Source organism: Homo sapiens, chromosome 3 (assembly GCF_000001405.40).
Source record: "Homo sapiens chromosome 3, GRCh38.p14 Primary Assembly".
In the NCBI taxonomy this organism is placed as follows: Eukaryota; Metazoa; Chordata; class Mammalia; order Primates; family Hominidae; genus Homo; species Homo sapiens.
Window position 1 is genome coordinate 196,493,483 of NC_000003.12, and position 10,694 is coordinate 196,504,176.

General features: G+C 44.5%; 1 protein-coding gene and 1 long non-coding RNA gene across 2 annotated transcripts in view, besides 5 other annotated features; both read right to left on the reverse strand.

Moving 5' to 3' along the window:
• Positions 1-10,286, reverse strand: part of RNF168 (ring finger protein 168) — a 34,986-nt gene extending 24,700 nt beyond the window's left edge. Inside the window, exon 1 of the mRNA NM_152617.4 lies at positions 9,391-10,286. Within this exon, the coding sequence (NP_689830.2) occupies positions 9,391-9,691 (301 nt within the window). The 5' untranslated portion in view covers positions 9,692-10,286. The remainder of the gene's footprint in view (positions 1-9,390) is intronic.
• On the reverse strand, positions 2,732-8,570 carry LOC105374306 (uncharacterized). The gene is made up of 2 exons (XR_924896.3): positions 6,952-8,570; positions 2,732-2,989 (listed from the first exon to the last, which is right to left on the reverse strand). It is a non-coding gene; the product is annotated as an uncharacterized LOC105374306 (long non-coding RNA).
• Positions 8,396-9,080: an enhancer, noted in NCBI's record as "H3K27ac hESC enhancer chr3:196228749-196229433 (GRCh37/hg19 assembly coordinates)". NCBI's record gives its function as "activates a minimal SCP1, AML or CMV promoter by ChIP-STARR-seq in naive H9 embryonic stem cells {active_cell/tissue: H9 hESC(naive)}" and the evidence as "EXISTENCE:reporter gene assay evidence [ECO:0000049][PMID:30033119]".
• Positions 9,081-9,764: an enhancer, noted in NCBI's record as "H3K27ac hESC enhancer chr3:196229434-196230117 (GRCh37/hg19 assembly coordinates)". NCBI's record gives its function as "activates a minimal SCP1, AML or CMV promoter by ChIP-STARR-seq in naive and primed H9 embryonic stem cells {active_cell/tissue: H9 hESC(naive and primed)}" and the evidence as "EXISTENCE:reporter gene assay evidence [ECO:0000049][PMID:30033119]".
• Positions 9,416-9,485: an enhancer, noted in NCBI's record as "active region_21093". NCBI's record gives its function as "activates an Ori minimal core promoter by ATAC-STARR-seq in GM12878 lymphoblastoid cells {active_cell/tissue: GM12878}" and the evidence as "EXISTENCE:reporter gene assay evidence [ECO:0000049][PMID:35858748]".
• Positions 9,526-9,615: an enhancer, noted in NCBI's record as "active region_21094". NCBI's record gives its function as "activates an Ori minimal core promoter by ATAC-STARR-seq in GM12878 lymphoblastoid cells {active_cell/tissue: GM12878}" and the evidence as "EXISTENCE:reporter gene assay evidence [ECO:0000049][PMID:35858748]".
• Positions 10,236-10,535: a silencer, noted in NCBI's record as "silent region_15065". NCBI's record gives its function as "represses an Ori minimal core promoter by ATAC-STARR-seq in GM12878 lymphoblastoid cells {active_cell/tissue: GM12878}" and the evidence as "EXISTENCE:reporter gene assay evidence [ECO:0000049][PMID:35858748]".

Sequence of the window (10,694 nt, forward strand, 5' to 3'; positions counted from 1 at the left end):
GCACTGGGATAACAGGTGTGAGCCACTGCATCCAGTCCATTTGCTATTTCTTTTTCTTCTTTGACGGAGTTTCGCTCTTGTTGCCCAGGCTGGAGTACAATGGCGCAATCTCAGGTAACTGCAGCCTCCACCTCCCGGGTTCAAGCAATTCTCCTGCCTCAGCCTCCTGAGTAGCTGGGATTACAGGCATGTCCCACCACGCCCAGCTAATTTTTTGTAATTTTAGTAGAGACGGGGGTTTTACCATGTTGGCCAGGCTGGTCTTGAACTCCTGACCTCAGGTGATCCACCTGCCTTCCAAAGTGCCAGGATTACAGGTGTGAGCCACCGTGCCCAGCCTTCCATTTGCTATTTCTTTCTTTTTTTAAATTTATTTTTTTTTTTTTTTGAGACAGAGTCTCACTTTGTCACTCAGGCTGCAGTGCAGTGGTGCAATCTCAGCTCACTGCAGTGTCCACCTCCCAGGCTCAAGCAATGCTACTGCCTGAGCCTCCCATGTAGCTGAGACTACAGGCGCCCACCACCACACCCGGCTAATTTTTGTATTTTTTGTAGACGGTTTTGCCCTATTGGCCAGGCTGGTCTCACACTCTCAGGCTCAAGCGATTTGCCTGCCTTGAACTCTCAAGTACTGAGATTACAGGTGTGAGCCCCCGCACCTGGCCTGTTTGCTATTTCTTAAACAACTCTAATTTTATAAGAAATTTGAATATCTCAGTTTTATAGTCTTAAAGTGACTATACAATTTTTGCCATCTGTTGGAAACAACTCTCGACACTCTTCAGTTCTGGTTAACTCTAAAATTTCTGCTGAAACCCACTTCGGTTAAACATTCCTACTCTACTCGATATTTTGCTTCTTCGCAGCAAGTGGTCTTCCTAGGCGGCCAGGACTCATTTAAGGAAATATGTCCCCATGCTTTTTATTTTATTTTGAAGGAAAAATTCAAGTTAGTTAAAGACCTGAATGTATAATACTGGATGAAAAATAAAAATAAATAATAAGCCTTAACTTGAACAGTTGAGCTGTTCATAAAACTGCCCTCCCATCACTGAACTAGACTGCAGCTCCATGTAAATGGCAGTTTCCTTCTCCCAATTAAATGTGCATTCCTGGGCTGGGCACAGGGTACAAAATAAAGAGATAGTTAAAAAATAAAAAGCCCAAAGTTGCTCTGGAAAATAAGCATATGATTTGTGAAGCAGTATGTACATCAGTGTGGCTGGATCATCACCAAGTAGTGTGGCTATAAATGGCAATCAGGGGCAAAGTGCTCACACCTGTGATCCCAGCACTTTGCGAGGATGAGGCAGGAGTATCACTTGAGCTCAGGAGTTCAAGACCAGCCTCGGTAACATAGTGAGACCCTATCTCTACAAAAAATAAAAAAATTAGCCTGGCGTAGTGGTGTGTGCCTGTGGTCCCAGCTACTCAGGAGGTTGAGGTGGGAGGATTGCTTGAGCCCGGGCGGTGGAGGGTACAGTGAGCCAAGATCGCTCCCTGGCATTCCAGCCTGGGCGACTAAGTGAGACCCTGTCTCGAAAATAAAATAACATAAACTAAATTTGCACTTTCTGCCTCAATATTTATTTTGAAAATTTTCAAATCTACAGAAATTGCAAAAATAGTATGATAAACCCCCGTTTAACCTGCATTTAGATTCATGAAGTTTTTAAACTGCCACATTGCCTTTCGTGTGTGTGTGTGTGTATTTTCTGAACCATTTGAAAGTTGCATGATCATAACCCTTCACCAAATCCTTACGTGTCCACCTCATAAGAGATGCTGTCCTTATCTCTTGATTTGATATACAATGATCAAGTTCAAGAAAATTAACATTGATATATTACCCATCATATCAATGATAAAAATTTCACCAACTATCCCCATGTCTTTAATAACAACCTTTGTCCTAATCCATGTTCTAATCCAGGGTCATGCACTGCATTTAGCTGTCATTCTCTTTTAATCTCCCTTTCAACTAGAATGATTCCTAAGGCTTTGCCTTCATGACACTGACATTTTTGAGGTACTAACAACTACGTTTTGTAGAATTTCAATTTGGGTTTTTGTTTTCTCACAGTTAGATTCAGGTTATGCCTTATACTCGTCCTATCAGGAGGACCGCAATGTTTGTTTGTTCCATGGATAACGTTAACTGTGATCACTTCATTACTGTGGTAACAGGCTTCTCGACTGTATCCTTCACCCTTTGTAATTAATAAGCAATCTGTAAGATGATATTTTCAGACTATATGAGTCCTCCGTTCTCCGGCAAATTTTCAAGCAGGGATTTTGGCATCCGTTTGTAATTCTTGCCTGCATCAATTTTTACAGTGACAGTCGCAAACAGAAAGGAAATTTAGACATTCTAAGGCTGATTCTTCCCTACTATAGGATTCTTTTTTGAGAAATCCAAATGTAAAACACACCTGTCTCCGTCACACTAATTCACTTTCAAATACTTCATTTTTTAAAGCTATCTCATATGTGCTTTCTTACAACCTTCCTTCCATAAATTAAAAATACATAAAGTAAATGAGTAGATTCACTTTATGTATTATGTGTTAACAAAGTTAACACAGAAACACCAATTATATTTTTATAAATTATCAATGAACAATACTGAAAATTTTTTAAAATTTACTTAAAACAGTCTCAAAAGCCATAATATAATTAGGGATAAATATTAGTTTCTTAGGGCCACCATAGAAAAGTACCACAAATTGCGTGACTTGAAAATACAGCAATTTATTTTCTCACAGTTCTGGCTAAAAGTCCAAAATAAATGTGTCAGCAGGGCCATGACACTTTTCAAACTTGTAGGGGATCCTTCCTTGCCTCTTCCTTGCTTCTGACAGTATGCTGATAACCTTAGACGTTCCTTGGGTTGTAAATACATCACTCCAGTCCTCCAGCCTCACGTGGTACTCTGTGTCTTTACATCATCTTCCTTCTGTGCGTGTCTGTCTCTGTGTCCAAATTTCTCCTTTTTATAAGGAAACCAGTCATAATGGATTAGGGCCCATTCTAATGACCTTATTTTAACTTCATTACTGAAAAAAATTGAAGGTGACCTACACAAACAGAGAAATATACTATTTTCATGGATACAAGGACTCTGTTGCTGTTTGGATGTCAATTCTCCCCAAATTGTTCTATTAAGTTCAATGCAACCCCAATCAAACTCCTAACAGGCTGTTAGTAGAAACTGGTAAGTTGATTGAAAAATTTAAATAGGCTGGGTGTGGCGGTTCAGGCCTGTAATTCCAGCACTTCAGGAGGCTGAGACGGGAGGACTGCTTGAGGTGAGCTGTTCAAGACCAGCCTGGGCAGCATAGCAAAACCCCGTCTCTACATACAAAGAATAAATATACGGAGGACGGGCACGATGGCTCACGCCTGTAATCCCAGCACTTTGGAAGGTCGAGGCAGGAGTATCATCTGAGGTCAAGAGTTCGAGACCAGCCTGGCCAATGTGGTGAAACTCCCGTCTCTATTAAAAATACAAAAATTAGCCAGGCATGGTGGTACATGCCTGTAATCGCAGCTACTCAGGAGGCTGAGGAAGGAGAACTGCTTGAACCTGGGAGGCAGAGGATGTAGTGAGCTGAGATCACGCCACTGCACTCCAGCCTAGGCAACAGAGCAAGACTCTGTCTCAAAAAGAAAAAAAAAGATTTACTCTAAAGTCACAGTAATCAAGACAGTGTGACACTAATATTAGAATCAACGGATCAATGAAATAGAATAGACCCACATTATTTTTTTTAAAAAGTCTTTTCAACAAAAGGTACAGAAATAACTGATACCCATATGGGAAAAAGTTAACCTCAACCCCCTAACTTATACAATATTCAAAATTAATTTGAAATGGATCAAAGACCTAAACATAAAAGTTAAAACTGGCCAGACACAGTGGCTCACACCTGTAATCCTCGCACTTTGGGAGGCCAAGGCAGGCGGATCACGAGGTCAGGACTTCAAGACCAGCCTGGCCAACATGGTGAAGCCCCATCTCTACAAAAAATACAAAAATTAGCCAGGCATGGTGGTGCGTGCCTGTAGTCCCAGCTACTCAGGAGGCTGAGGGAGGAGAATCGCTTGAACCTGGGAGGTGGAGGTTGCAGTGAGCCATCACGCCACTGCACTCCAGCCTGGGCGACACAACGAAATTCAGTCTCCAAAAAAAAAAGGTAAAACTATAAATCTTTTAGAAAAAAAAATAGCAATATCTTAGCCTGAAGGTAGCTAAAGGTTTCTTAGACCATAAAAAGCAATAAACTATAAAAGGAAAAATTTATGAGACTTCATGAAAATTAAGAATTTCAGCTCGTCAAAACAATTAAGAATATCTGGCAAAGTACCAGTATTCAAAATACATAAATAATGTCTACAACTGAATATAAACAATTTAGGGGAAAAAGAATTAAACAGACACTTTACAATGGAAGAGGGCAAAACTGTCAATAAGCACATGAAAAAGAACACTATCATTAGTTACCTGGAAATTGAAATTAAAACAAGATACTACTATCAATACAAATCAACTGGAATGGTTAAATCTAAAAAGACAGATAACATCAAAAGTTGGTAAGATGTACGGCAACCAGAACCTGTATGCTGTTGGTGGGATTACAAAATGACACAACCACTTTCGAAAAAGATCTGGTAGTTTCTTCTTTCTTTTTTTGAGATGGAGTCTCACTCTGTCACCGAGGCTAGAGTGCAGTGGCGCGATCTAGGCTCACTGCAACCTCTGCCTCCTGGGTTCAAGCAATTCTCTGCCTCAGCCTCCCGAGTGGCTGGTATTACAGGTGCCCGCCACCACACCCGGCTAATTTTTGTATTTTTAGTAGATGGGGTTTCAGCATCTTGGCCAGGCTGGTCTTGAACTCCTGACCTTGTGATCCACCCGCCTCGGCCTCCCAAAGTGCGTGAGCCACCATGCCTGGCAGGTAGTTTCTTATAAAAATATGTACCTATTCTACGTTGCGTAATTCCAGCTCCTAAGTATTTAACCAAAAAAACCCTGAAAACATAAGGCCACACATACACACACAGAGACACAAAAACTTGCACAAGAACCTTCTCAGCAACTTTATTCATAATATCCAAAACTGCAAGCAACTGAAGCACTGTATCAGTGGAGAATGGCCAATCATATACAGCATAGTCAATGGTGGAATAATACTTAAAAAACGAATATCTACACAAGAATAAATCTTGAGGCCAGGCGCGGTGGCTCATGCCTGTAATCCCAGCACTTTGGGAGGCCGAGGCGGGTGGATCACCTGAGGTCAGGAGTTCGACACCAGGCTGGGCAACATGGTGAAACCCCATCTCTACTAAAAATACAAAAATTAGCCAGGCATGGTGGTGCGTGCCTGTAATCCCAGCTACTTAGGAGGCTGAGGCAGGAGAATCACTTGAACCCAGGAGACGGAGGTTGCAGTGAGCCGAGATCCTGTCACTGCATTCCAGACTGGGTGACAGAACAAGACTGTCTCAAAAAAAAAAAAAGAATAAATCTTGAACCTTATGCTGAATAACCCCCCAAAAGATATGCTTAAGTCCTAACTCCCAGTAACTAAGAATGTGGTCTTAACTGGAAACAGGTTGTTACAGATATAATGGAGTTCATACAAAGAGTACAGAGCCTTTAATCCAATATAACTAGTGTCCTGGTAAAAAAAAAAGAGAGAGACACAGAGGAGACGGCCATGTAAAGACAGACACACCGGGAAACTCTACGTGCCAATGGAGGCAGAGACTGGAGTGACTCAGCTGCAAACCAGGAACACCATGGATTCCAGCCACACCAGAAGCTAAGGAGAAGGGCACGGAACAGATTCTCTCCCAGAGCCTTCAATGTACATGTCCCTGCTCCCTGCTAGCATCTTGGGTTTGGAGTTCTACTCTTCAGAACTGAGGGAGAATAAATTTCTGCTAAGTTCGTGGTACTTTGTTACAGTAGCCCTAGGAAATAAAAAGAATTCCATTTATATGAAGTTCCAGAACAGAAAAAACTCATCTATGGTGGATAAAAACTAAAACAGCCCGGACGCGGTGGCTCACGCTTGTAATCCCAGCACTTTTGGAGGCCAAGACAGGTGGATCACGAGGTCAAGAGATTGAGACCATCCTGACCAACACAGCAAAACCCCATCTCTACTAACAATACAAAAATTAGTTGGGTGTGGTGTCGCATGCCTGTAATCCCAGCTACTCAGGAGGCTGAGGCAGGAGAATGCCCACAACTCAAAAAAACAACCTGATTAAATGACAGGCAAAGTTGTGGCTTTTTCTGGGTTTTGGGAGAAAAACAGAAACAAAAAGAATGAATGAGCACAGGATTTGAATAGATATTTCATATTTTTCCGAAGATGATATACAAATGGCCAATAAATGCATGCAAAGATGCTCGCCATCCTTAGTCATTGGGGACATGCAAATAAAAACCACAATGGGATACCACCTCATACTCACCAGGATGGCTACTATCAAAACCCAGAAAATAGCAAGTGTTGGCGAGGGTGCAGAGAAACTGGACACCCACGCACTGTTGGTGGGAATGTAAAACGGTACAGTCACTGTGGAAAACAGTATGGCGGTTTCCAAAACCAATCACACATAGAATTACCATAGGATCTAGAAATTCCACTTCCAGGTATACACCCAAAAGAATAGAAAACAGGCCCCTGAACAGACATTTGTACACCCAAGTTCACACCAGCATTATTTCTAATAGCCGAGAAGTGGAAGCAAGCCAAGTGTCCACTGACAGAGGAACAGATTTCTTTTAATGTAGCATATACATACACTGGAACATTATTCAGCCTGGAAAAGAAGGGAATGCTGTCACATGCAGTATGGATGAACCTGGAAAACATTACGCTAGGTAAAACAGGCCAGACACAAAAGGACAAAACCTATGAAAATTCCACTTACAGGAGGTACCTAGAAGCAGTCGGGTTCACAGAAATGGAAAGGAGAACGGTGGTTGCCAGGGGATAGTAGGAGGGAGGAACGGTGAGCCTCAAGGGTGTGGAAATTCAGTTTGGGAGGATTAAAAAGTTCTGGAGATGGACGGTGGTGACGGATGCACAGCAGTGTGAACGGAGGCGATGCCACTGAACCATACAATTACAAACGGTTAAAATTTTCCTCCCTTCTTTCTAGTCAAAAACATTTTTAAGTGGTTAAAATGGTAATCTTGCTATATTTTACCACAATTTTTTTTTTTTGAAACGGAGTCTCGCTCTGTCTCCCAGGCTGGAGTGCGGTGGCGTGATCTCGGCTCACTGCAAGCTCCGCCTCCCGGGTTCACGCCATTCTCCGGCCTCAGCCTCCCGAGTAGCTGGGACTACAGGCGCGTGCCAACATGCCCGGCTAATTTTTTGTATTTTTAGTAGAGAGGGGGTTTCACCGTGTTAGCCAGGATGGTCTCGATCTCCTGACCTCGTGATCCGCCCGCCTCGGCCTCCCAAAGTGCTGGGATTACAGGCGTGAGCCGCCGCGCCCGGCCCCGCAATTTTTTGACACACAGAGTTAAGATACCAGTTCACATGTACTAGCATGGCACGGAAAATAACAAGTGTTGGTGAGGAAGTGAAGAAACTGGAAACTTCGTACTCTGCTAATGGAAATGTAAAATGGTACAGCCACTGTAGAAATCAATGTGGCAGTTCCTCAAAAAGCTAAACACAGAATTACCATAGGATCCAGCAATTCCACTCGTAGATATATAGACAAAAGAACTGAACACAGGTATTCAAACACATACTGGTACATAAATGTTCGTATCGCCAGTATTCAAATAACGAAAAGGTGAAAAAAACCAATGTCCAGCCAATGGATAAACAAAATGTAACAAGTATATCCGTAAAACAAATTATTATTCAGCCCGAAAAATGAAGTACTGATCCATGCCACACTGTACATGAACCTCAGAAACACGCTAAGTGAAATAAGCTAGACACACAAGATCCTATATTGCATGAGTCCCTTCTATGAAATACCTAGAATGGCCAGATTCATAGAGACAGAAAGTGGAATAGAAGGTGCCGAGGCTGGGGGGAAAGGTGAAATGGGGAGTCAGTGCCTCACGGTTAGAGTTTATCTGGGGTGATGAAAAGTTCTGGAAACAGTGGTGATGGTTACATTGTGAATGTAATTAATGCTATTGAATTGTACTTAAAAATGGTTAAAATGTCAGTTTGTTATATACATTTTGGACAATATTTTAAAAATAACGCAATATACCAAAAACCATTAAATTGCACACTTTTAAACATTTTACTGAATTTATGTTACCCAGACCGGCCTCAACTCCTGGGTTCAAGAGATCCTCCCACCTCCGCCTCCCAAAGCGCTGGGATTACAGCTGTGAGCCATCGCTCCCGGCCAACCGCACACTTTTAGTAGGTGAATTGTATGGTCTGCGAGCATTTGAATAAAGCTTTTTCTTTTAACTATTGTTTAAAAATGTTTAAAATGGCATTTTTTTACAATAAAATAAACGTATGTTTAAAAGGCAGGTACACATATAACTGTGACCAAAAAAAATTAGAAAAAAAAAAAAAAAAAAAAAAAAAAAGACCTGTCCACGAGAGAACGGAGACACCATATCCTAAGCCCAGACAGGAACCACCGCCCGGCTTATTGCTCACATTAGTGGAGGAAAGAGTCAAGGGTTCAGTTTGGGGCTCCTGAGTCTACCGGGTGCAGGGTTGAGTGATAAAAAAGCGACTTTAGCCTCGTCGCATGATTAGGAGAATCAAGAATTAAATGAATGGAGATGTATAGATAAGTAAATCAGAGGCCGGGCGCGGTGGCTCAAGCCTGTAATCCCAGCATTTTGGCAGGCCGAGGCGGGCGGATCCCTTGAGGTCAGGAGTTTGAGATCAGCCTGGCCAACATGGTGAAATCCCGTCTCTACTAAAAAACAGAAAAATTCCCCGGGCGTGATGGTGCACGCGTGTAACCCCAGCTACTCGGGAGGCTGAGGCAGGAGAATCGCTTGAAACCGGGAGGCGGAGGTTGCAGGGAGCCGAGATCGCGCCACTGCACTCCAGCCTGGAGGACGGAGCGAGATCCTGTCTCAAAAAAAAAAAAAAGAAGGCTCCAGACGGGCAATTCTTTAATTTTTAACACAACAAACACCCATCGAACACAGCGCGGGCATTTTGACAATGGACAAAATCTTGCCCTTGACTTTATAATCCATCGACATTTGGGGACCCATAAACCCCCTAACCTCTGAGAACTATTTAGACAAATACTAGTCGGGTTTTTTGGTTTGTTTTTACTTTTTAAATGGAAAAGTGATGATTCACCTTTTCAAAGACTTGCGGCTTTTGGCCAACAAACACGCCATGGTTTACTCACCCACTTCCTCTGATTCTTGGCCAGACGCTCTAAGCTTGCACTCCCTGGGATAGTGTTTTTGAATTATCGTCCACAGTTCCACGTTGACGAGAGAATTTCTTCGGGTATGGTACCGAGTCCACGACGATACCCGGCGGCGACAGAAGGGACAGCATAAACTCGCCTTTTCGACGGTCGACTGGAAGCACGGTTTACACAGCGTGTGGTTACACGGGAGGGTGACGGGCTCCACGAGGATTTCCATGCAGATCCCGCACTGGCACTCGGACAGCGAGGGGATGGCGTCTTTGGGTAGAGCCATTTCAATATGTTAGTAAAGCCGACTAAACAACGACACCTGCACGAAAAAGAATCCTATTTTCGGCCAACCACAGAGAGAGCAAAAGCAGTTTTGTGTTTCAGTATTATGCCCAGAAGCGTATCAGAATTCGGAGAACAGGAGCATCCAACACGTCTTGAAGCAAAAAGGCGCTCTCAGGGTCAGGCAAACAGGAATACCCCGGAGGGCGGCGTCTTTGTCCATTTTCAAGGCAAACGTCCCGCCAGCAAATAAATGCAGGTTTTCGTCGGAGGAGCCTGGCTGCTCCGCGGCATGAACACCGCGGCTGCGGCTCCCGGGGCAGCGAGGGGAACGCGCCAAGTCCTCTCCTCCCCTCACCCGGAAAGGATGCTCCGCTCAGCTCGGGGCAGCCGGGCCCCGGGACGCGGCTCCGGGAGGAAGCCCGGGCTCCGGCTGCAGCATAACTTCCGCTTTACCGCTGCTGCGGGGGAGACGCGCGACTCCCGTGTTCACCTTTCGGGCGCCTGGCGCAGTTTCCCAGAGCTCCGCGCCCCCGTCCCTCCTACGCAGCCAGAAACCCTATTCGTTGCGGCAGCGCAGCAGCCACCGGACAAGCGCTAGCAACGTCACAACCGCCCGCCAAAATCGCACTTCCCACCCAGAAAACTGCCCAAGGGCGAACGTTCCCGGGGCGGGACTTCCGGGGTCTGCGCGCCGCCCGCCCTCCCTCCCAGCCGGAGACGGTCCCGCCCTGGCGTCGCAGCCCCGCCTAGTGCAGCCTGGGTGGAGCCTGACCTTTCCCTGAGATTTCTGCGAGGCCTCAGACACCCCTGGTTTCTTGGTTTCTGGGTAGAAAAAGGGAAACCTCAAAACAAAATCAACAGCCAAACAAGGCCGGGTGCGGTGGCTCACGCCTGTAATCCCAGCACTTCGGGAGGCCGAGGCGGGCGGATCACCTGAGGTCAGGAGTTCAAGACCAGCCTGGCCAACATGGTGAAACCCCCGTCCTTACTAAAAATACAAA